General features: G+C 50.6%; 1 protein-coding gene across 4 annotated transcripts in view, besides 7 other annotated features; it reads right to left on the reverse strand.

Moving 5' to 3' along the window:
• The window catches only part of PACSIN2 (protein kinase C and casein kinase substrate in neurons 2), a 145384-nt gene extending 134813 nt beyond the window's left edge, over positions 1-10571 (reverse strand). For all 4 annotated transcript variants that reach the window (NM_001349974.2, NM_001184970.3, NM_001349971.2 and 1 more), the window contains exon 1: positions 10443-10571. The gene's annotated coding sequence lies outside the window, so the exon portion shown is untranslated. The remainder of the gene's footprint in view (positions 1-10442) is intronic.
• Positions 3077-3146: an enhancer, noted in NCBI's record as "active region_19181". NCBI's record gives its function as "activates an Ori minimal core promoter by ATAC-STARR-seq in GM12878 lymphoblastoid cells {active_cell/tissue: GM12878}" and the evidence as "EXISTENCE:reporter gene assay evidence [ECO:0000049][PMID:35858748]".
• Positions 10173-10876: an enhancer, noted in NCBI's record as "H3K27ac hESC enhancer chr22:43410757-43411460 (GRCh37/hg19 assembly coordinates)". NCBI's record gives its function as "activates a minimal SCP1, AML or CMV promoter by ChIP-STARR-seq in naive H9 embryonic stem cells {active_cell/tissue: H9 hESC(naive)}" and the evidence as "EXISTENCE:reporter gene assay evidence [ECO:0000049][PMID:30033119]".
• Positions 10299-10368: a silencer, noted in NCBI's record as "silent region_13848". NCBI's record gives its function as "represses an Ori minimal core promoter by ATAC-STARR-seq in GM12878 lymphoblastoid cells {active_cell/tissue: GM12878}" and the evidence as "EXISTENCE:reporter gene assay evidence [ECO:0000049][PMID:35858748]".
• Positions 10489-10538: a silencer, noted in NCBI's record as "silent region_13849". NCBI's record gives its function as "represses an Ori minimal core promoter by ATAC-STARR-seq in GM12878 lymphoblastoid cells {active_cell/tissue: GM12878}" and the evidence as "EXISTENCE:reporter gene assay evidence [ECO:0000049][PMID:35858748]".
• Positions 10549-10738: a silencer, noted in NCBI's record as "silent region_13850". NCBI's record gives its function as "represses an Ori minimal core promoter by ATAC-STARR-seq in GM12878 lymphoblastoid cells {active_cell/tissue: GM12878}" and the evidence as "EXISTENCE:reporter gene assay evidence [ECO:0000049][PMID:35858748]".
• Positions 10859-11058: an enhancer, noted in NCBI's record as "active region_19182". NCBI's record gives its function as "activates an Ori minimal core promoter by ATAC-STARR-seq in GM12878 lymphoblastoid cells {active_cell/tissue: GM12878}" and the evidence as "EXISTENCE:reporter gene assay evidence [ECO:0000049][PMID:35858748]".
• Positions 22962-23462: an enhancer, noted in NCBI's record as "H3K4me1 hESC enhancer chr22:43423546-43424046 (GRCh37/hg19 assembly coordinates)". NCBI's record gives its function as "activates a minimal SCP1, AML or CMV promoter by ChIP-STARR-seq in naive H9 embryonic stem cells {active_cell/tissue: H9 hESC(naive)}" and the evidence as "EXISTENCE:reporter gene assay evidence [ECO:0000049][PMID:30033119]".

A 25334-nucleotide genomic window follows, 5' to 3' on the forward strand; every position in this document is an offset into this window, starting at 1 on the left:
CTGAAGACCACAATTCATGATCTTGGCACGCTCGGTTGGCGACAACATAATTTAATATAATGAAAGACAAATGCAGTTTAAAACATGAAAATGCTCACAAACTACGGTTTGGGTATCACTTTACATTAAGAAGATTTCATTTCATTCAATAGGAAACTTCAGAATACACAGTTGATCCTATCTAAAGACCACCCTGCAGGTCCAGGCAGAGGCCCCGTCACAGGCCTCCCTGGGCGCTCTGGGCTTGGGCTCAGAGGCCCATATGGGGTCCTGGCAGGTGGCCTCAGGCAAAACCACTCACCCCTTTAGCTCTGACTCTCTTTCTCCTCTAAACAATGAAAAGGGAAACAAATCAACAAGGCTGTCCTGAAAACAAAATGAGGGCTATGGAAAGCTTCTTGGTAAAATGCAAATGCCTAGACAACCAAGCTCTTTTTATTTATACTTATTTTAATTACAAAGTTATTACTTAAACATTAATCTAAAAGTAAAAGGGCAATGGTACTGTGTGGAAAACAAGGAGAAACTTCCTATAATTCTAAAGCCTTAACTATCACTGCTGCGTGTTATCTTAATACAATTTCACACAGGTGAGCAGTGCTCACACCTTTATCATTTGCTTTCTAAGTCCTATTTCCCATCACCTAGGGATAAGCTATCATTACCAGTACTCCCTTCCAATCCTGAGTCACTACGTGTAGTCAAGCAACATCCCTTCACCCCAGGGTCAGGCTTTCTAGAATCCATCACATTAAACTCAGGCAGAGAATTACCAACCCAGAAGAGAGCAAGGCCTCTCTGCATGGCAAGGCTGCCCTCAAAACCCAGGGAGGATATGACCATCATCAGGCCCTTACCCCAACAAAAGGGCCAGGTGCCAACAGCAGCTTACAAAAGGTGGTGGGGAGAAAGACAGGCCCTGTAAGTGCCAGGATATGAGGGGAGTCCATGCAGGGCCAGGGCAGGAGGCCTCACCCACACCAATGACCTGCGACTACACCCGTGACCCCGAGTCACCAAGGAAAGGTCCAAAAAGTTCTGGAAGGATTTTTAAATAGAACTGGATAAAATCACTTTGGGCACTTTAAAGGTATAGTTTGCTGGCAAATTCACTTACGTAGACTGATAGGAGAGTGACTGAATGAGCACTGTGACCAGGCACACATGCTGGGCTCCTGGGGTCCATCACCTCATGCTGCCCCGCCAAAATCCTATGAGGAAGGGCTCTCAGTATCCTGGTGCAAAGGACTGCATGTATGGATCCCCTCAAAATTCATATGTTGAAATTCTACCCCTCAGTTTGATGGCATTAGGAAGTAGGGCCTTTGGAAGCTAATTAGGCAGGGCCCTCATGAATGGGACTAGTGTCCTTACAATTTTTTTTTTTTAGTTTTTGTTGAGATAGGGTCTCACTATGTTACCCAGGCTGGCCATGAACTCCTGGCATCAAGTGATCCTCCTGCCTCAGCCTCCAAAAGTGTTGAGATTACAGGCATAAGCCACTGCACTCAGCCACTCATGCCTTTATAAAAAGTACCTGAGAGCTCTCTCGCCTTCTTTCTGTCATGTGAAGCTATAAGAAGTCAGCAATCCGCAACATGAAAAAGGACCCTCCTCAGAACCCAACCATGCTGGTACCCTGATCTCAGACTTGCAGCCTACAGAACTGTAAGAAGGAAATTTCTGTTGTTTACAAGCCACCGCATCTTTGTTATAGCAGCCCCAACTGACTAAGACACTCAAGTTTTGGAGACATTGAAACATTTGGCCAAAAGCCGCACAGTCACCTAGTGATGGAGCTCGAACCCACACCCAAGGGCTGTATGACTCCAAAACCATGTTCCTAACCTCCAAAACCTTATTGCAAAATTACCTTTCTTCTGTAGGAACTAACAGTGAAAGTGACATATTAACCTCAAGGATCTGTAAGCATAAACCATATGGAAAGAGAAACAGCCAGGCACGGTGGCTCATGCCTGAAATCCCAGCACTTTGGGAGGCAGAGGCAGGCGGGCCGTTTGAGGTCAGGAGTTTGAGACCAGCCTGGCCAACATGGTAAAACCCCATCTCTACCAAAAATACAAAAATTAGCCCGGCATGATGGCGCATGCCTATAATCCCAGCTACTTGGGAGGCTGAGGCAGGAGACTCACTGGAACCTGGGAGGTGGAGGGTGCAGTGAGCCGAAATCGCACCATTGTACTCCAGCCTGGGCGACAAGAGCAAAATTCCGTCTCAAAAAAGAAAAAAGAAAGAGAAGCAGAACCCACACAGCTACTGCATTCTCAACCAAACACGTAAATGCAGGTTAAGAGAATGAGTCAAGGCTGAGGCCATTCCCACTCGAAAAGCCCTTCTCATTAGAGTGGAGCCACTGCTTCCTAGGAACACAGATGGCAATCCTTGAGACTCCCAGAGACAGAGGTGACCTTTGTGAAATTGAGTCACCTGAATCACCCCTCCCCCATCTGCATCCCTGACTTCTCAACTGACATCTTGCTTCTCTGAAGATCTTCATCCCGGTATTTTAAATACCCAGAAACTGCTCCCCAGTGAACTGTCCTCCAGGAGAATATAAGGCAGGTCATAACCTGGAGCCTTCCCTGCCCCTAGCAGCCCCTCTCACACACACCTCTTGTTCTTTTTTTTTTTTTTTTTGAGACAGTCTCGCTCTGTCACCCAGGCTGGAATGAAGTAGCACTATCCTGGCTCACTGCAATCTCTGCCCCCAGGTTCAAGCGATTCTCCTGCCTCAGCCTCCCGAGTACCTGGGTTCACAGTCACAAACCACCACGCCCAGCTAATTTTTGTACTTTTAGTAGAGACAGGGTTTTGCTATGTTGGCCAGGCTGGTCTCAAACTCCTGGCCTCAAGTGATCCGCCCACCTCAGCTTCCCAAAGTGTTGGGATTACAGGCGTGACCCCTCTCTCCCAGCCACTCCTTGTTCTTCAGAGCTCTGTAGCTCTGCCCAGAATGGTCCTTCACGTCAGCCCCACCTGGAGAGCACCTGTGGCTCTGGCACAATCCCTCCCAAGTCACTTCCCTGAAGGTCAGCTCTCTGTAGTGTCCTGAGGACAGTCAGACCCGCCCTCCTCTGTCGTGCAGTACTTTGTACACACTACTATCTGGTACCGCCACAATGAAAAGAGAAGTTTCCAGGCCTGCTGCCTATACTGAGCTGCCTTTACAGAGCAGCCATCATCTTTATCTCAGGATTCCAGAGCTGCAGGCAGAGCCAGGGGCACCAGGCATGCAGTGGCCAGGACCACTACCTCTGACTCACCCTGCCTGTTGCCTTCCACCCACAGATGCTCCCTCCACATGAGCCACTGAGATATCCTCCAAACACTCTCAGTCCAGGGAGTGAAATGAAAATAAAAAGCAGGTACTTCCACGGGCAGCTTAATGGAGTGCCCCAGCTGGCTGCAACTCTATCAATAGTCACATCACACATGACATAACAGGAAGACAGGTGGATTCTCCACACACACTCCACATTGAGTGATGCCTGCTGTGTGCAGTACTATCAGCTTCCATGTCTGAGTATTCAAAACAGCTTTCAGAAATACATCAGAAGTATTCTTTTAAAAAATAAAAATAAAAAACATCTTTATTATGATTATTTTCATCAGAAATAAGCCACCTAACATCTGTGAGGCTCTAAAATTCAGTGGTCTTCTTTTTTTTTTGAGACAGAGTCTCACTCTGTCGCCCAGGCTGGAGTGCAGTGGCACAATCTCGGCTCACTGCAACCTCCGCCTCCTGGGTTCAAGCCATTCGCCTGCCTCAGCCTCCCCAGTAGCTGGGATTACAGGCACGCACCACCATGACCAGCTAGTTTTTATATTTTTAGTAGAGATGGGGTTTCACCATATTGGCCAGGCTGGTCTCAAACTCCTGACCTTGTGATCTGCCCACCTCAGCTTCCCAAAGTGCTGGAATTACAGGCGTTAGCCACCACGCCCGGCCTAAGTTCAGTGTTCTTTTACATATATGAGCTCTTTATATAGCTCAGAATGTGTACTCTTTCAATAAACCAAAAAAATTAGTCCATAAAATGTTAGGAATCTAGCCAGAAGGCCACAAGCAGCCACTGTTGGACAGTCCTGGCCACTGGCACAATCCACACCCAACTTTCAAACCCACCCAGCGGCTCTGGGCCCAGGGAGGGGCCTCCTAGACTGCAGAAAGCATCTCATCTGTGAGGACATACTTGGATAGGACAAGTGAGACATTTGGAATTTTTACTTAACATTTATTTCACAACTTTCTCAAGTGCTAAGCAACTGAGAAGTAGTCATTTTAATGTACTCTTTCATCAATAAGCATTAAATAAGTCTGCTCAAAACACTCAAGCCCTACAAACTGTCCCTATGAAAAATGTGGCAAGAAAAAATAACAAAAACAAATAAGTAGCCTTTTCACATACAGAAAAGGTGTTTAGTGATCCAAATTCAGAGAGAAAAACAGTCCTTTCCGGCAGATGAACAAATAGTTTCCTCTACGAGTGACACATTCTGGGATATTTGAACTGCCAAACATAACTCATAATGACAACCACCAAGGAAGCAAAACCTAATGGAAAAGCCCCAGGATGGCAACCAGGAGCCCCAGTTCTGGTCCCAGGACGGCCTCTGGCTGTTTGCTCCATCAACGTGCTGACCAAGCCTGGCCCACTTTCTTCATCACAGGAAGGAATATCTATTGCCACCTGTACCACTCAGAAATGTTTTGAGGACAAAAGAATGAGAGGTGAAAGTGCTTTGGAATGTGCATCTTCTATAAATACAAGTCATCATTATTATTAGCTCAAAGATGACCAGGAAAATAGGATTACAGAATATCACAGGTGAGAGGGAGCTTAGAGATGGAATAATCCAGTTCTTAATCTGGGTCCACGCCTATGAAGCTGTCCCCCTTCGTGGGAAGGGGTCACAGTTGCTATCAGATTTGCAAAAGGTGAAGGTCCTCTAAGTCCTTCATTTTACAAATATGAAAACTGAGACCTGGAGTTCTGTGCTGATTGTCCCAGACCTCAGGGTTGGTCAGGGAAAGGCTGGACAAGAGCCCAAGGCTCCTAGTCTCCATCCACGCTCCTCCCCCTCTGTCATCTCATATTCTTGGGAGGAAAAATAATCATATAAATTTTATCTGGCCACAGAATATGTACTATAAACCACCACACATGCACTTTCCAAAGGTACAGCAAAATCTCTAGCCTTATTTATCATTTTTAAGGCTTCTTGCGAGGTCTTTGATAGTTGAGACATCATTTTATTTTTTCTATTTTTTTTTTTTTTTTTTTTTGAGACAGAGTCTTGCTCTGTCACCCAAGGCTGGAGTGCAGTGGCACAATCTCGGCTCACTGCAGCCTCTGCCTCCCGGGTTCTAGTGATTCTCCTGCCTCAGCCTCCCGAGTAGCTGAGATTATAGGCGCACGCCACCATACCCGACTAATTTTTGTATTTTCAGCAGAGATGGGGTTTCACCATGTTGGCCAGGCTGGTCTCGAACTCCTGACCTGAAGTGATCTGCTCCTTTACTTCCCATAGTGCTGGGATTACAGGTGTGAGCCACAGCGCCCAGCCCCATTTTATTATTTCTATATTCTCATCTCCGTCTAGTTCAGTGCCTAAAATCAAGAAACACGCAAATGATTTTTTTAGGATTGAAAATAGGCCAGGTGTGGTAGCTCACACCTGTAATCCTAGCACTTTGGGAACCCGAGATGGGAGGATCACTTGAGGCCAGGGGTTTGAGACCAGCCTGGCAAACATGGCGGAATCCCATCTCTGTTTAAAAATACATATATATATATATTTTTTTTTAATTGAAAATAAAAAAGACCGGCCAGGCACGGTGGCTCACGCCTGTAATCCCAGCACTTTGGGAGGCAGAGGCGGGCAGATCACGAAGGTCAGGAGATCAAGACCATCCTGGCTAACATAGTGAAACCCCGTCTCTACTAAAAATACAAAACATTAGCCAAGTGTGGCGGCGGGCGCCTGTAGTCCCAGCTACTTGGGAGGCTGAGGCAGGAGAATGGCATGAACTCGGGAGGCGCAGCCTGCAGTGAGCCAAGATCACACCACAGGGCACTTCCAGCCTGGGCAACAAAGCGAGACTCCGTCTCAACAACAACAACAACAAAAAAAGACAAGAAAGGAAAAGAAAAAAGACCTTATTCTAGGAAACAAGAAAGACTCTATGGTGCTTTAAGTTTTATTAAGCAAACAGATGAACATGCATTTATGGGAATAAGCACAATTCAATAGGTAACTTAAGGAAAGGTGGTTTTTATTTGTTTTATGTGTGCTTTTCATCAAAATGTCAAAACTTGTGCTCTTTGGTGGCCACTGTCCCTCAAGTAGTTACCTTTGGAACTGCAGAGATACCAAAAAATGATGTATTGTGCAGAATAATTTGAGAATTCTTTGAAGCCTGTCTCCAGTCCACAGACAGAGCATACTCATCTGAACACTAAAATTCTGCAGAAATTCCTACAAAACTATCCCAAGAACCACCACTGGGACGCATCTGGAGTCTGTCTGGGGCAGGGACGAATGATACTTTCTGGTATGTGAGGGATCAGTGCCCTGGCCATAAGGAAAGACTCTACCTGTGGAATGCAAACTGCCTTCGTAACTAAGGCATTGCTGCACTGCCCTCAGGTATGCAGCTACCATTCCAAACAACCTAACTGGAAAAAAACTAAGCCAGCACTATTGCTCACATGAATGTGGTCATTAATCGCATAATCTACAGGGCGGCCTCCACAAAGCTGCCATTACAATCTGATGGCAGATAAAGCAGGCCCGAGTCAGCTGGGAGGTTCACATGAAGGTGGCCAGAGAGCATCTGGTAAATGCCACTGCGAACTCTAAACACAAGGTGCCATCACTATTATTAAAGAAACTTTTCGATCTGTTTGATATTCCACAACATCCGGAATCATCCACTGATAACCCCTTCAGAATCAGTAAGCCTGAGCATGACGCCCTTAACACAGCACAGACTTTCAAGGTATAGAGAAGAAACAAAAGGCAAGGACATCTGCGAGGCCGAGGCGGGCAGATCACTGGAGGTCAGGAGTTCCAGATCAGCCTGGCCAACACTGTGAAACCCCATCTCTATTAAAAATACAAAAACTAACCAGGCAAGGTGGCAGGCGCCTGTAATCCCAGCACTTTGGGAAGCTGAGGTGGGCAGATCACCTGAGGTCAGGAGTTCCAGATCAGCCTGGCCAACATGGTAAAACCCCATCTCTATTAAAAATACAAAAACTAGCCAGGCAAGGTGGCAGGTGCCTGTAATCCCAGCACTTTGGGAGGCCAAGGCAGGTGGATCACAAGGTCAGGAAATCGAGACCATACTGGCCAACACGGTGAAATCCCGTCTCTACTATAAATACAAAAATTAGCCAGGCGTGGTGGTGGATGCCTGTAGTCCCAGTTACTCAGGAGGCTGAGGCAGGGGAATCACTTGAACCTGGGAGGCAGAGGTTACAGTGAGCTGAGATCGCACCACTGCCTCCAGCCCGGGCGACAGAGCGAGACTCTGTCTCAAAATAAATAAATACATACATACATACATACATACATACATACATACATACATACATACAAACATACAAAAACTAGCCAGGCAAGGTGGCAGGCGCCTGTAATCCCAACTACTGAGGAGGCTGAGGCAGAGGAATCATTTGAACCTGGGCAGAGACTCTCTCTCAAAAAAAAAAAAAAAAAAAAAGCAAGGACAAATGCCCCTCTGCTCCCACTCCAGAAATGCCTGGCCATCAGAGATGTGGATGGGTATCCAGGATTAGGGAAAAGTTCATGTTATCTCCCTGCAGAATGCTATGTTGGTGGAAATCCAGAATTTTTTTTAAATATATGCATACTTTTAGATTTATTTATTTTTAAACAGAGTCTCACTCTGTCACCCAGGCTAGAGTGCAGTGGTGTGATCTCAGTGCACTGCAACTTCCATCTCCCAGGTTCAAGCAATTATCATGCCACAGCCTCCCAAGTAGCTGAGGCTGAGATTACACGTGTGCACCACTACGCCAGACTAATTTTTTTTTTTTTTTGAAACAGGAGTTTTGCTCTTGTTGCCTAGGCTGGAGTGCAACGGCCGGATCTTGGCTCACCGCAACCTCCGCCTCCTGGGTTCAAGCAATTCTCCTTCCTCAGCCTCCCAAGTAGCTGGGATTACAGGTATGAGCACCACCACACCCAGCTAATTTTGTATTTTTAGTAGACATGGGGTTTCTCCATGTTGGTCAAGCTGGTCTCGAACTCCCGACCTCTGGTGATCCGCCCGCCTCTGCCTCCCAAAGTGCTGGAGATTACAGGCGTGAGCCACCACGCCCGGCCTTAATTTTTGTATCTTTAGTAGAGACGGGGTTTCACCATGTTAGCCAGGCTGGTCTCTAAGTTCTGACCTCAGGTGATCTGCCCGCCTCGGCCTTCCCAAGTGCTGGGATCCCAGGCGTGAGCCACCCCGCCCAGCCTAGATTATTTAAATATCACATCACAACTTCATATACATTTGAGATTAAAAGTGATAAAGTTCCAAGTCCCAAAGCAGCACGAGCTAAGGATACCATTTCCATTCAAATGAGTTGTTATTCTTCTCCCAAAAAGTGGATAAAGAGTGCAGACCTAATCACCCATCTACTTCTCTGTGTTATGTTACTTTCCCAAGTAATAAATATCACCAGCCTAATGGCCACTTTCTTTAAAGCTTTAAGTCTATTGTCAAAAGAAAAACACACCAATGTTTTTGATGTAGTGGCCTCATATCTCAACCAGCATAACCTCACCAAAGAGGCTACCAAACTCTAGAATTAAGTTTAAGTCCACACAAGTGAAAGTTTTCCAGGTGAATCAAGAGAGATCCAAGTTGCACTGGCACAGCTTCAATGTCTCCATGAGGAGGCTGCATGCAGGCAGGCTCATGAATCAAGTGGAACGACAACATCTTGGGCAAGAACAGGAGGGCTGGCATTCAACACTGCCTGCCTGGTCGGTTCCCTTGCCCTGGGCTCCAACCTGGCAATCCCAGGAGGGTTAAAACAGAACTTCAGCACACGGGAATAACCGCAGAGGAAGGCACCGAAAAGGAGGGAAGGAAGAAGGTGTGAGCTCACCATCTGCAGCTGAGGTTCAAACTCTTTGAGCTGGTTTCCTGATTTTCATCAAGACAGCCAGGCAGTATTTGGTAAACAGTGTACCAAGTAGCCCTGGAGACTCTGAGCAGCCTACCCCCTTAACCACAAAAACACCGGACAGGCGGAGGGAAAAAGAGAAGACAGGATCCAGGAATGGTGCACACACCCAGCCAAAGGCCACCTTCCCTCAGGCACCCAAGCCAAGAGTGGCATCCCCAGGTCCTGTTATACGTCAAAGGCTGCAGCCGTGTGGGCCCCAAAGCAATAGCACAGCTTGCTCCCCTGACCAACCAACTCCTTCTGAAAAGAAAATCGACCTTCTCTGATGGAGCCGAAACCCAATGAATCAATGAAATTCAACAGCAGCAGCAATCACTACCTCTCCAATTGCGGACCTCTCAGGATGCCTGGCCAGGCTTGAAAGCCCTAGAGGAGTAAGGAGTTCGGATTTCTGATTCAGTGAGTCTGGGGAAACTCTGAGGAGGGTCACAAGGGCAAACCTCCCCGGCCTCTCCTGCTTGGCCCCAGCCCTAGGACGTGCTGCGGTAAGGGCTTTGCTCCCCCCGCCCTACACACACACACACACACACACACACACACAGACACACACACACCACCCCCCCCCCCCCGGGACACGGAGGGTGGGAAGGAAGGAAATGGAGGCCGCTCATCAAAGCGCCCGAAATCAGCGCACCCGCGTGTGTCCTGCGTCGCCCCCCAGGCCACCCCAGGACTAAGCCCTGCCCTCTCACCGGCGCGTCCCAGCCACGCCTTCCCTCCAGCGTTGCTCCGGCACCCTCGCCTAACCTCTGCACGTCTCGGATTCCCAGCTTTCTCCTAAATCGCGTCCCTCCAAAAGTCGCCCCAGCTCCCCCTTCTGCAGCTGTCTACACCTCCCCCACTCATTAGCAGCTCTTAACCCCCGACGGCCCTGCTCCTGCACTTCCCTCTCCAGCAGGCCCCGGACCCCGGAAAACTGCCCCGCTCCCACAGCGCCGCCCCCATGGGCCCCCGCCCCTTCCCCGAGCCGACCCCACTCGCCCTCGTCCTCCCCAAGATGTCTTCTCCAGGCGCCCCCCGGGGCCCCGAGCACTCGCCCCCTCCCACAGAGACAGGAAGTTCCGCGCGGCCCGACCCGCTTCCCTCAGGGCGCGGAGCTCGGCGCGGCGGCCCTGACGGGGCGCGGGCCCGGCCGCGGACCAGCGCCCCCGCGTCCCGCCCGCGGCGCCCCAACCGTCGCGGCGACCCCTGACCTCGGCGGCCACTCACCTCCCAATCCGTCGCACACTCCGTTCAGGCTGCCACGGCGTCTCCAGACCCAGCTCCGGCCGGGCTCCCGCTACCGCTTTTGCTCCGGCAGCACTGCCCAGCCCTGCCCAGACCCCTGCGGCCGCTTCTGCCGCCAGCCGCGACCGCACCGCCCCCGCCGCTCCCGCTGGGCTCTGTCCATTGGCTACCGGACACCGAGCCCCGCCCCACAGCCTCCCCGGCGCCCCCGATTGGGCCAGATGAGTAGAGAGGCGGCTCACCCCGCGTGAGGACGAGGGAAAGCCCCAGGACGCGCATTGGTGACTTCTCCTGTCAATCAAACGGGGAGTGCCTATTTAATGGGCTGCGAGGGTGGCGCAGATTACTCTCCCAAAGCCGCTCGCTGGTGGTGGTCCTTGAGACGCGCTTCCCGGGGCTGGAGTTTTGCGGTTTCGTCGGCATCCAGGGGTAAGAGGGCGCGGCAGGGCAGCACCGCACCTGACCGGAAGTTCAGGGAAGGTAATCCTACAGTCTTTCAGAAAGTTTCCTCTCCCAAGGGACTCAAAGAAGCTAATGTCGTTAGGAGCTCCTCCGACTTGCGCCAAAAGCGTCATTCCACGTGGACCCGCTTAGTTTAAACGGGGGGTTGGGGGGGCGTATGTTGCTGCTCTCTCTAATAAAATATATTTGGATGGCAAGGCACCAGGCAATGCACACGCATTCTTTCCAATTCTCACAATCACCTTGCATGATAGGGTATTAGCCCCGTTCTGCAGAGGGAAATACTCTTGAAGGAAAATGGAGAGCACTTCCTGAGCACTGTCCTACGCGCTGTCCAAGCACTGCTTCATGTCATCCAGGTGGAGAGGATGGTGAGAGGAACCCCAGGTGAGGGGTGAGCCAGGTAACTTGCTGGGGGTGATGTGGAGTAAAGAGAGTAAATGGCAGAGCCAGGATTAGAAACCCAGGTCAGCCCAACCCTTGAGAATAATAATGATGACTGTGTAGCACTATGGGAAAATGCTTAAACTAAAACGTTAAAAGAAAAAGCCAGATAGAGCCAGGCATGGTGACATGCACCTGGAATCCCAGCTTCTTGGGACGCCGAGGCAGGAGAATCGCTTCAGCCCAGGAGTTTGAGGCCAACCTGGGCCACATAGCAAGACCCAGTTCTCTAAAAAGTAAAATAAAAGAAAATAATAATAAAAGAAAAAGCTAGATACAAAATGGTAGAAACTGTAGAATTGCTGCTACATATAGATAGGTATGAGAAAAGAGTCCACAAAGAAATCTAGTGGTTGTTTACTTTCTAGACTGCTCTGTGGCATTGTCCTTATGACAATAATTGAGAAAGAAACAAAAGAACCGGCTAGGCACGGTGGCTCACGCCTGGAATCCCAGTACTCTGGGAGGCCGAGGCGGGCAGATCACAAGGTCAGGAGTTTGAGACCAGCCTGGCCAACACAGTGAAAGCCTGTCTCTGCTAAAAATACAAAAAATTAGCTGGGTGTGGTGGCATGCACCTGTAATCCCAGCTACTTGGGAGTCTGAGGCAGGAGAATCACTTGAACCTGGGAGGCGGAGGTTGCAGTGAGCCAAGATCACGCCACTGTACTCCAGCCCTGGCGACAGTGCGAGACTCCATCTCAAAAAAAAAAAAAAAAAACCAACACACAGTGCCAGGACAAACCACTGCCAAGAAGTCTCTCCTCATTCTCCAGGACTGAGCCAACAGGGACCTCTTTGCCACCCACAATACCTGTGGACCATTTGTATAGATAGAACTCAGCCATCAGCTCTCAGCACTTTCATATCTGGGTAAGTTCCGCTTACATCGCAATTCCATGCCCTATAAAAATATAGAGCCTTGTCGGGCGCTGTGGCTCACGCCTGTAATCCTAGCACTTTGGGAGGCCGAGACGGGCGGATCACGAGGTCAGGAGATCAAGACCATCCTGGCTAACATGGTGAAACCCTGTCTCTACTAAAAATACAAAAAATTAGCCAGGCGTGGTGGCGGTCGCCTGTGGTCCCAGCTACTCGGGAGGCTGAGGCAGGAGAATGGCGTGAACCCGGGAGGCGGAGCTTGCAGTGAGCTGATATCGCGCCACTGCACTCCAGCCCGGGCAACAGAGTGAGACTCCGCCTCAAAAAAAAAAAGAAATACAGAGCCTCTCCCAAATTTTTGGGGGTTTTTGTTTTGGTTTGTTTGAGACAGGGTCTCACTCTGATGCCCAGGCTGGAATGCAGTGGCACAATGATGGCTCACTGCAGCCTTGACCTCCTAGGCTCAAGCCATCCTCCTGCCTCAGCCTCCCAAGTAGCTGCGACCACTGGTGCGCACCACCATGCCCAGTTAATTATTTTTTAAAATCTTTGTAGAGACAGAATCTCGCCATGTTGCCCAGGCTCGTCTTGAACTCCTGGGCTCAAGCAATCCTCCTGCCTCATCCTCCCAAAGTGCTGGGATTACACGCACGAGCCACTGTACGCAGCCTCTCCCAAGGTTTCTGAACAAGCGTCTGTCATCAGGCCTCCTGCTCTTCCACACACCGCATGCTCACTGGTCTCACCATCATCCCCTTATCCAGTTGCACGAATCCCCCTGCACTCCAAGCACTGCTGAGTCTAGCAGGGGTTCCTGAAGACTGGAAGCTGGAGAGAGGCATCAAGCCTGGCACTGCCCAGCAACAAGACAGGATGCCTCGTGAGCCTTTTTGGCTGCCTGGCCCCAGGAGTCACCACCTGGTCACGTGACCCATGCCACACTCTGGCCACTTCACATGCCTTTGGTTTTCTGCACTCTCCCCCTCTTCTTTTCTCTCCTCCTCCTTCTCAGGACAAACACAAAATTCCTTTCCTTGTCTTGCACCTAGCAGCTTGACATCATTGCCTGAACTCTTTGGGCCTTATACCTTCTGTCCTGGCAGCTTATCAGGGTATTTTTCCAAAGATAGCTCCCCGTTGCCACATGTGAGCACCCCAACTTTGTTCCCCACAAACATTTCACAACATTCCATCCAGCCTCCTCCTTCAGTCATATTTGAACAGGCCTGGAGCCCAATCCTGCCTCCACCCCTTTTCAGCCAAGGGGCCTTGGGCCAGTCACTGCAGCTCTCTGCACCTCTGTGTCCCCTCCGTGATATGGGGATTAGGAAGAGCAACAGGGCTGTGGTAAGGAGTCAAAGCATGGAGAGCTGTTCCGGGCACACGGCTGTGAATGCTGTGTCTGAACGGTGGACATGTGGTCATGCCTTGTCAGCTGCTCCTTCCTTCCCCCAAAATGTGACCATTGCCACAGAGTGCCTGGGACTGAGACTGACCGGCTTTAGTTTAGTCCTTTATTAACCATTTCCCACTAAGCAGCCTGGATAAACAGACAGTCTGGGCTAAAACATACTTGCACAGAGAATATCATATTCTCAAAAAATTTAAAACATCCAGATATAGTTGTATTGCTGAAAATACAGTGATACGTGTATTTTCAGTGTGATAAGTACAGTGATTTATGGATTGTACAGTGATACATGTCTTTCAAGAAAAAAAATCAAAATCAGTTACAGACATTCACTCACTCAATAATTCCAATATTTAGAACGTGCCAGGCAGGGAAGGTGGCTCGGGGTGGACCTGGGTCCTGCTGATGTTCCTGGAAAGATCTGGCAAGGACATAGAGTTTAGAACAGAAGAGGGTGCAGTGGTATTGAAAACAGTGCTGTTTACCTGAGCCAAAATGAGTGGAAGATTACAGAGAGCAAAGATCAGGAGGCAAGAACTCCTCCTGTCCAGGAAGAGAGGAGGGTTCCACTTGGCTGCATTGCAGGCACAAAGAGAAGCCAGGGGAAACAAGGCAGTAAGGCAGCCGAGCGGCAAGGAGCTCTGCGGCCCTGGCAAGTGACTTCACTACTCCAGCCCTTGGTTTTCCCTACTGTAAAACGGGGATAATCACAAAACCTAGTGATTGTTAGCTTAGAGAATCTGTGAGGATTTGTGAGTTCGCTCTGCAATATTCAGCATGGGGCCTGGCACAGGTCATTGTTCAGTGTGTTCAAGGACCCCTGATTTTGTAAAAGTGCTTCAGGGTATATTCACTTTTTTAAATTTTTAATCGTGTCTAAAAGAAAAGCCTGGGCGTGGTGGCTCACGCCTAAAATCCCAGTACTTTGGGAGGCCAAGGCGGGAGCATCACTTGAGTCCAAGAGTTGGAGACCAGTCTGGGCAACATCATGAGATCCTGGTCTCAAAAAAAAAAAAAAAAAAAAAAAAAATTAGACAGACGTGGTGGTGCAGGCCTGTAGTCCCAGGTACTCAGGAGGCTGAGGTGGGAGGATCACTTGAGCCCAGGAGATTGAGGCTGCAGTGAACCAAGATTGCACCACTGCACTCCAGCCTGGGCAACAGAGCAGGACCCTGTCTCAAAAATAAATAAATAAATAAATAAATAAATAAATAAATAAATAAATGGAAAACAAACCTAAGAACACGTGCTGTGCACCAACTGTTAATATTTTGGCCATATCAAAGCACTAACTATGGCGGCTGGAGGAACACATTTCTGAACATACCTCTGAATGACATGCTCACCTGCCAAGTACGTGTAAAGATCTGAATTCTTTGTAAATGTGTCATTGATTAGGAGGCAATTACCCCAATCTCCCTGGCTTTGTTTTGTTTTGTTCCATTCTGGCTGCACATGTCTGCTCACGTCAAATTGTACCAGCAAGTACAATGTTCCACTCCTGCCATGCCCGGCTGGAGCCTGCTCCCAGACAAAGGTAGGTATGGAGCAGCATACAAACAGGGCTTCCCAAGTGGGCACTGGGCACTGCCCAGGTGCCCTGAATTGGGATCAATCCATTCTTTTTTTTTTTTTTTTTTTTTTGAGACGGAGTCTCACTCAGTCGCCGAGGCTGGAGTGCAGTGGCGCTATCTCGGCTCACTGCAAGCTCTGCCTCCCGGGTTCACGCCATTCTCCTGCCTCAGCCTCCCGAGTAGCTGGGACTACAAGCGCGTGCCACTGCGCCCAGCTAATTTTTTGTATTTTTTTAGTAGAGACGGGGTTTCACCGTGTTAGCCAGGATGATCTCCATCTCCTGACCTCATGATCTGCCCACCTCGGCCTCCCAAAGTGCTGGGATTCCAGGCGTGAGCCACCACGCCCGGCCATGGGATCACTCAATTTTTTTGCAAGTTCTTCAGTTGGTTCTACTTCTATCTTATTTTACTAAGTGGAAAAGCTCATTTGGAGAATTCGGGTTTACAGTGTTACCATTTGTACCAAAGTGGGCCAGTGTCAACAATTTCAAAGTAACTGTTTTAAAATTTGGAATGAAAACCTAACAATGCCCAGGCTTTATGTGATACATTTTAAAGTATTTTCTACTCTGGGAGGAAGATATAAACTCCGGCAATAGTCCCTCCTTGAGTCCTTGCTATGCAGGAGGATGAGGAGGTCCCAGAAGCCAACAGATTCCATTCTGAATCCAGCCAATCATCTTACCTTTTGCCAGCTCCTAATTAGATAAATTAAAAGGCATCCTGCAATTGTAAAACTAATTTTTTTTAAAGTTATTGGATGCAACTGCTGTGAATCCAGATTGCCTTAGTGTAAGGTAAAATGAGATACTGAGGCTACTTTTTTTTTTTTTTTTTTTGAGACGGAGTCTCGCTGTGTTGCCCAGGCTGGAGTGCAGTGGCGCGATCTCGGCTCACTGCAAGCTCCGCCTCTCAGGTTCCAGCGACTCTCCTGCCTCAGCCTCCCGAGTAGCTGGGACTACAGGCACCTGCCACCACGCCTGGCTAATTTTTTATATTTTTTAGTAGAGACGGGGTTTCACCGTGTGTTAGCCAGGATTGTCTCGATCTCCTGACCTCGTGATCCGCCTGCCTCAGCTTCCCAAAGTGCTGGGATTACAGGCGTGAATGAGGCTACTTTTTAAAACATTGCAGCAGTCTCAAAATGTAAATGCATCAAAAAAGTAACATTGCCCTTCCTGATTAACTTTATAACAAATATTTTCTCTTTTTTTATTTTTTTTCCATAAACCTTTTGCATTCCTAATTTTTAAAATAATTTTACCGTTTCTTTATACTTTTTGGAGACAGGGTCTTGCTATGTTAGCCCAGGCTGGATTCAAACTCCTAGGCTCAAGTGATCCTCCCACTTCAGCCCTCCCGAGTAGCTGGTGCTATAGGCAGGCACTACCATGCCGAGAATTTTTATACTTTTTAAATGTGGGTACAAGATTACATATGTGCCTTACATTCTATTTATTTTTTTTTCTTTTTCTTTTGAGAGAGGGTCTTGCTTTGTCACCCAGACTGCAGTGCAATGGTGTGATCATACCTCACTGCAGCCTCAGCCTCCCAAATAGCTGGGACTACAGGCATGTCCCACCACACCTGGCTAATGGTTTAAATATTTTTTGCAGAGATGGGGTCTCACTACGTTGCCCAGACTGATCTTGAACTCCTGGTCTTAAGCGATCCTCCCACATCAGCTTTTGAAAGTGCTGAGATTGGCCAAACGCAGTGGCTCATGCCTGTAACCTCAGCACTCTGGGAGGCCGAGGCAGGCAGATCACTTGAGGCCAGGAGTTCGAGACAAGCCTGGACAATATGGCAAAACTGCATCTGTACTAAAAATACAAATTTTAGCCGGGTGTGGTGGTGGGCGCCTGTAGTCCCAGCCACTTGGGAGGCTGAGGAATGAGAATCACTTAAACCCAGGAGGTGGAGGTTGCAGTGAGCTGAGATCATGCCACTGCACTCTAGCCTGGGCGACAGAGCAAGATTCTGCCAAAAAAAAAAAGTGCTAGGTACTGAGATTACAGACATAAGCCACGGCGCCCAGCCCTATGACAAATAAATGTTGTTAACTTGAACTTGTAAAATAACCTGTACACCAATACATACATTATAAATTGTATACCAATAAAAATAAAATACCTGCCAGGCACAGTGGCTCATGCCTATAATCCCAGCACTTTGGGAGGCCTAGGAGGGCGGATCACTTGAGGTCAGAAGTTCAAGACCAGCCTTGAGGCGGGGCACGGTGGCTCATGCCTGTAATCCCAGCACTTTGGGAGGCCAAGGCGGGCGGATCACGAGGTCAGGAGATTGAGACCATCCTGGCTAACACGGTGAAACCCTGTCTCCACTACAAATACAAAAAATTAGCCAGGCGTCATGGCAGGCGCCTGTGGTCCCAGCTACTCGGGAGGCTGAGGCAGAAGAATGGCGTGAACCCGGGAGGCGGAGCTTGCAGTGAGTCGAGATCGCGCCACTGCACTCCAGCCTGGGCGACAGAATGAGACTCAGTCTCAAAAAAAAAAAAAAAAAAAAGACCAGCCTGGCCAACATGGTGAAACTATGTCTCTACTAAAAACACAAAAATTAGCTGGGCATGGTGACGCACGCCTGTAATCCTGGCTGAGGCACGAGAATCACTTGAACCCGGGAGGCGGAGGTTGCAGTGATGCAGTGAGCTGAGATTGCACCATTCCACTTCAGCTTTGGGGCAGAGCGAGACTCCATCTCAAAAACAAACTCACGCCTGTAATTCCATCACTTTTGGAGGCCAAGGCAGGTGGATCACGAGGTCAGGAGTTCGAGACCAGCCTTGCCAACATGGTGAAGCCGCACCTCTACTAAAAATACAAAAAAATTAGCTGGGCATGGTGGTGCGTGCCTATAATCCCAGCTACTCGGGAGGCAGAGGTTGCAGTGAGCCGAGATCGCGCCACTGCACTCCAGCCTGGGTGACAACAGCAAAACTGCATCTCAAAAAAAAAAAAAAAGAAAAGAAAAAGAAAGAAAGAAAGAAAAAAAACCACACACAAACAGCAAGTTGTTCCATAAACCTGTGCCCAAGAGCTTAAAGGACATCCCCTCACGTCATCCTGGGACAAAGACAGAGAGGAATTGGAATCCCACCGCCCCCACGCCCCTGCCACACACACACACACACACACACACATCCTTTATAAGCCACACGGCTTTGGGCAAGCCACTCACTTCTCAGCCTCAATGTCCTCATCTGGACAGGGAGCGATAGCTCACCCCTGCTTCATGGGGTGCTGCTGGAACTCACTGCAGTCACATGGGGAAAGTGCTCAGTGCGCACGCCCGTCACGGCACACAGTAAGTTACCAGCTCCACCAATGCTGGTTCCCGGCCCGGGCTGTCATGGCCCTAACCCAGAGCCGCCTCCTAGTCTGTGAAAGAGGAGAGCAAGCCGCTGAGGTGTGTGGCAGGCCCCAGCTCCCTCTCACCCACACTCCCTGCCCCAAGGGGAGTTGGAGCCAAGGGGTGCTGCCTACCAGGAATGGACATGTCTCTGGGGAGCTGACTTTCGGCTTCAGCTAGCACCCAGTCCACCGGCGTTATCATTCACAGAAGAATGAGGCCCCATCTCCCCATCCTGCGGGGTGGCACCTGCTGCCTGCATTCCACTCCCACAGCGTTCTGCACCTCCCAGCCTCCATTCCCACCCCCACCTGTCTCCCTGTCCCCCCTTCTTCTGCTGAGCCTCCAACCAAGTCTGAGGCCCATGGGAACCCACACTCCAATCCAGGCAGCCCCTCTGGAGGCAGGGGGTGGGTGAGGCCAACTCTGCATCAAGTTCTCTTCTCTCTGAGTCTGGGCCACAGATGGCAGGTCCAAGCTGGCATGGGTGACTGATGGTTGTAAGTCATCTGGCCCAGAGCTGTGCGCAGCACGAGGCAGATGCTGGAAGTGTATGAGGAAGGAATCTTCCCTTTCACCCGCAGGTGCATGAAGGATGGAGAGCCGACCACGTGGGCAGTCAGAAGGTGAACAGGCCTGGGGGGTGGCTTCACCTCACAGCTCAGTATGGGGCAGGGAGTGGGCAGGTGGGAGACAGGGCAGGGGGCAGCCTGTGGAGCATTTGGGACCACAGAACATCTAAGCCAGAAGACCCCCAAAGGTGAGTCCTAGCCTCTTCTAAGGCGAAGGAAGCTGAGGCCCAGGGAAGTCAGGCGAGTGGCCCGAGGTCTGCCAGCCATTAGGAGTCAGAGACCCCTCTCAAATCAAACTCAGGCCTTCTGGCTCCTGCTCCAGTATTCTTTTTTTTTTTTTTTTTTTTTTTTTTTTTGAGACAGAGTCTCTGTCACCCAGGCTGGAGTGCAGTGGCACAATCTCAGCTCACTGCAACCTCCCTCCTGCTTCAGCCTCCTGGGTAGCTGGGATTACAGGTGCCTGCCACCATGCCCGGCTCATTTTTTATATTTTTGGTAGAGAGGGGGTTTCACCATGTTGGCCAGGCTGGTCTCAATCTCCTGACCTCAAGTGATCTGCCCGCTTCAGCCTCCCAAAGTGCTGGAATTACAGGCTGAGCCACCATGCCCGGTTCTGCTCCTGTATTCTTTACCAACCCCATTTCTCCCTCTATTTAATTCAGTGGGCACATGATGCGGGCTACCATGCTGGGCATGAATGAAAAATACTGCCCACCTTGAAGCAACTCCTGCTAGATGGGGGGCCAGAGGAGAGGTCATAAGCAGTGTTCTAGAGGGACTGGAGCCGCACAGGGCGGGCCCTGGAAGGCTTCTGGGAGGAGTTTGAGCAGGTCCTGAAAATAAGCAGGGCACAGTGGAAGGAAAGGTGCTGGGGACACTGGGAGCAAAGGGCTGGAGCACAAGCTCCTGAAGGCTGTGGGAAAACAACCTCTTTTTTTTTTTTTTTGAGACAGAGTCCTACTCTGTCGCCCAGGCTGGAGTGCAGTGGCGCAATCTCGGCTCACTGCAAGCTCCGCCTCCCGGGTTCACGCCATTCTCCTGCCTCTGCCTCCCGAGTAGCTGGGACTACAGGCACCCGCCACCATGTTCGGCTAATTTTTTGTATTTTTTTTAGTAGAGACGGGGTTTCACCGTGTTAGCCAGGATGGTCTCAATCTCCTGACCTCGTGATCTGCCTGCCTCGGCCTCCCAAAGTACCTGAAATCAGTACTTTGGGCCTGAATCAAGTACCCAGCCCTGGGCACTCTCCCAGCAGCCAGCAGCCATTCTCTAGGCATCGGGGTCCTGGCAGCCTCTGGGTGGCATGAGGTGCGGAAGCGCAGGCCCAGGCCCCCTCCTGCCGCTCCTCCAGCAGGCTCTGAACACACCCTTCCTGTTGTGACAATTCTATTCTCTGTGCAACTGGTTCCAGCCCCTGCCTCAGGTTTCAGATTGCAGCACGTGCACTCATTAAGGCTGATGGCAGTATCATGTGGGCACCGGGGAGAGCCTGCCTGCCTGCCAAGCCTGGCCTAGGTTAATTACAGGTCACGGCATTCCTGCTGTGTGCCCAGACAGTGGGCGGCCAGGCTAGGACCAGGCCTATGACACAGCCACCCTCCACTCATTTGCACAGCTGGTGGGTTAGTTAATTGCCTATGGGGGCAGACCCTGTGCTGGGCATGCAGGGAGGGTCACACTGACTGCCACCCAAATAATTCCCTCCACGGTGGCCAGCCACATGCTCAGTGTTTTATACACGGCACCTCAGGTTTCCTCACAATCTCCCCACTTTGCAGTTAGGGAAACTGAGACTCAAAGAGGTAAAGGTTTTGTAGGTCTCGTGTGGCTGCAAAGCCACGCCCTCCTCACTCCCCTGAGCACTGGCCTTGGAGCCAGGCTGGATGTCAGCAGCGTGTTTCCAGGGCTTGCTCTGTGATGCCCTTGCCCATTGAGCCCCCATGCCCTCTCCGTCTCTGTGTTTCGGTTCCTGCAGCTTCCACCACCTGCCAGCATGCCCACTCTGGCAGACGGTGCTCCTTCCTGGAGATCCCTAAACACAGCACCCCTTTCTGAGGAGCACGGGCACCCCATGACCTGCTCTCTTTGTCAAACTGCAGTTAGGTAGCTTTTTTTTTTTTTTTTTTTTTTTTTGAGACGGAGTCTCCCTCTGTCGCCCAGGCTGGAGTTCAGTGGCGCGATCTCAGCTCACTGCAACCTCCGCCTCCCGGGTTCACGCCATTCTCCTGCCTCAGCCTCTCCGAGTAGCTGGGACTACAGGTGCCCGCCACCAGGCCCGGCTAATTTTTTTTTGTATTTTCAGTAGAGACGGGGTTTCACCGTGGTCTCGATCTCCTGACCTTGTGATCCGCCTGCCTCAGCCTCCCAAAGTGCTGGGATTACAAGGGTGAGCCACCATGCCCAGCCCCTTTTTTTTTTTTGAGATGGAGTCTCACTCTGTTGCCCAGGCTGGAGTGCAGTGGCACGATCTCGGCTCACTGCAAACTCCACCTTCCAAGTTCAAGTGATTCCCCTGCCTCGGCTCCCGAGTAGCTGTGATTACAGGCATGCACCATGGCACCCGGCTACTTTTTGTATTTTTAGTGGAGAGGGGATGTTTCACCATGTTGGCCAGGCTAGTCTCGAACTCCTGACCTCAAATGATCCGCCCACCTCGGCCTCCGGAAGTGCCGGGATTACAGGCGTGAGCGACCACACCCAGCCACCTCTTATTCTTTATATACTGTATTAGGGTGGTATCTTTACAATTGACGAGCCAATATTGATACATTATTATGAATTCAAGTCCACCGTTTACATTAGGGTTCATTGTTTGTGTTGTATAGTTTGTGAGTTTTGACCCACGCATAACTACATCATACATAGTTTAACTACCCTAAAAGTTCCCTGTGCCTCATGATTTCTCCTCTCCGTCTTCACTCCCAAGTCCCTGGCAACCACCGATCTTTTTACTGTCTCCGTAGTTTTGCCTTTTCCAAAATGTCACAGAGTTGGAATCATAGTATTCGTAGCTTTTCAGCTTGCTTCTTTCATTTGGTGATATGCATTTAAGTTTCCTCCATATGTTTTCTTTTCTTTTTGAGACTGAGTCTCGCTCTATCGCCCAGGCTGGAGTGCAGTGGCACCATCTCAACTCACTGCAACCTCCGCCTCCTGGGTTCAAGCAATTCTCCTGCCTCAGCCTCCTGAGTAGCTGGGATTACAGGCACCCACCACCACGCCCGGCCCATTTTTATACTTTTTGTAGAGACAGGTTTTCGCCATGTTGGCCAGGCTGGTCTCAAACTCCTGACCTCAGGTGATTCACCCACCTCGGCCTCCCAAAGTGCTGGGATTACAGGTGTGAACCACGGCGCCCGGCCTAATTTTTGTATTTTTAGTATGGGGTTTTACCATGTTGGCCAGGCTGGTCTCAAACCCCTGACCTCAAATGATTGGCCTGCCTCTGCCTCCCAAAGTGCTGGGATTACAGGTGTGAGCCACCACACCTGGCCTAGTTTTTGTATTTTTAGTAGAGATGGTGTTTTACCATGTTGGCCAGGCTGGTCTCGAACCCCTGGCCTCAAATGATCAGCTTGCCTCGCCCTCCCAAAGTGCCAGGATTACAGGCTTTAGCCACAGCACCCTGCCTCCTCCATGTCTTTTCACAGCTTGATAGTTCTTTTCTTTTTTTGAGACAGGGTCTTGCTCTATCACCCAGGCTGGAGTGCAGGGGTGCGATCTTGGCTCACTGCAGCCTGGAACCCCTGGACTAAAGCAATCCTCCCTCCCCAAGCCCCTCAAGTAGCTGGGACTACAGGCACGCACCGCCACATCGGGCTAATTTTTGTATTTTTTGTAGAGACAGAGTTTCACCATGTTGGGCAGGCTGGCCTATCCAGCCTGGGTGCTATCCAAAGCCTGAAATGTCAAGGGCAGGCAGAGGACAGTGGCAGGGGCTACATCAGAAGATGGCTGAAAGCCTCAGGGAAATGTTTTTTTTTTTTTGAGATGGAGTCTCGCTCTGTTGCCAGGCTAGTGGCACAATCTCGGCTCATTGCAGGCTCCGCCTCCCGGGTTCACGCCATTCTCCTGCCTCAGCCTCCCAAGTAGCTGGGATTACGGGCGCCCGCCACCACGCCCAGCTAATTTTGTTGTATTTTTAGTAGACACGGGGTTTCGCCGTGTTAGCCAGGATGATCTCGATCTCCTGACCTCGTGATTCGCCTGCCTTGGCCTCCCAAAGTGCTGGGATTACAGGCGTGAGCCACCGCGCCTGGTCAGAAATGTGTTTTAACTGGGTCTCAGGAATGAGCAGGAGTTCAGCAGGTGAGGGAATGGGGAGGGGACCCACATACCGGGAACAGGTATGGCATGAGCTGTGGCCCTGGGGCAAGATGGTGAGGAGCACGGGGATGCCTGAAGGTTCAGTGCCTGTAGCTGGGAAGGCCACTCCAGGCTGAGTGATGGGCCGGGCCAGGTATAGATTGGGGGCTGATACTCCAAAGACTCTCACGATGAAGGGATTCCTTGACAGCCGTTAGTCAAAATTTTCCAGCTGCCCTCCTGTCTCCTTTCTTTGCCAAAGCCTTTCTGCTTGGGCTCACTTGCCCAAATGTGCCAAATGTGAGACATGGCACCCTCCAGGCTGGAAGTGGATGTCCTGTCACCACGACACACCCCTGACCTTATGGCTGTGACTCAGCCTTCTTCCAGCCCAGGGTTCTGCTAGTCCCAAGCTCACCCTCCCTTGGCACTGGCCCATGTTCCAGCTCTACCAGCTGGGCTGTTCTCCACAAGCCGGCAGGTGGTGGGCAGGGTCTGAAAACTGCCTGCCCGGGGAACCATGGGAGGGGAGGGGCAGCACCCAACAGCAGGTATGCCTTCATGGCGGCTAACAATAGCAGGAAAGCAACCAGACCCAGGCACAGGTGCACAAGCTCAGCCACCTGGGAGGTAGGAATAGCCATTACTCTCATGTCACCATCTGTAAGGAAATAGACTCAGAGAGGTGAAGGAGCCAACCTGAGCTCACACAGCCAGTAGGTGGGCAGGGAGCGCCTCCACGGACTCCTAATTACAGAGCCCAGGCTTTTTAGCTGGAGGTGTCCAGCACCATTCTGCACACTGGGGCTACTGAGGGGACTGTGATGACAAGCTCCTGCCCAGGCTGGAGTGCAGTGGCGGGATCTCGGCTCACTGCAAGCTCCGCCTCCCGGGTTCACGCCATTCTCCTGCCTCAGCCTCCCAAGTAGCTGGGACTACAGGCGCCCGCCACTAAGCCCGGCTAATTTTTTTTGTATTTTTAGTAGAGACGGGGTTTCACCGTTTTAGCCGGGATGGTCTCGATCTCCTGACCTCGTGATCCGCCCGCCTTGGCCTCCCAAAGTGCTGGGATTACAGGCGTGAGCCACCGCGCCCGGCCGGGGGAGAAACATTCAACAAAGCAACAAGTGAGCAGAAATTCCTTCTCAGGGCCACGGAGCTTGGCCTGTCCTCGCCCTGGCTTCTCCATGCCGTTCAGTTCCCAGGCTGGTGCTGTCTTTCCTCCCTGCCCCTGAAGTGGCTCTTTCCCCATCCCAGAAGTCCCAGAGCAAAATCTGGGTCTCCCCTGAAAGCTGGGTCAGTGCAGCACATACCTTCAGCTGAGGGCACTCAGAGGCAGAAAGGACATCTTTTCCATGTGTCCCTTCTATGCACCCCTGGGGGAATCTGCCCTCTGCTTGAACTTGCCCTTGACAGGAGACTCATTACCTCACAAGATGGACCACTCTATACCCAGGCAACGCTAATGGAGACATCCCCTGGCCCCTAACACTCGGCTAAGCATGGTGGCTCATGCCTGTAATCTCAGCACGTTGGGAGGTTGAGGTGGGAGGATTCGCTTGAGTCCAGGAGTTCGAGATTAGCCCTTTTTTTTTTTTTTTTTTTTGAGACGGAGTTTCGCTCTTGTTGCCCAGGCTGGAATTCAATGGTGTGATCCTGGCTCACCACAACCTCTGCCTCCTGGGTTCAAGCGAGTCTCCTGCCTCAGCCTCCCGAGTAGCTGGGATACAGGCATGCAGCACCACGCCTGACTAGTTTTGTATTTTTAGTAGAGACGGGGTTTCTCCATCTTGGTCAGGCTCTTCTTGTACTCCTAACCTCAGGTGATCCACCTGCCTCGGCCCCCCAA

Source organism: Homo sapiens, chromosome 22 (assembly GCF_000001405.40).
Source record: "Homo sapiens chromosome 22, GRCh38.p14 Primary Assembly".
Lineage (NCBI taxonomy): Eukaryota > Metazoa > Chordata > Mammalia > Primates > Hominidae > Homo > Homo sapiens.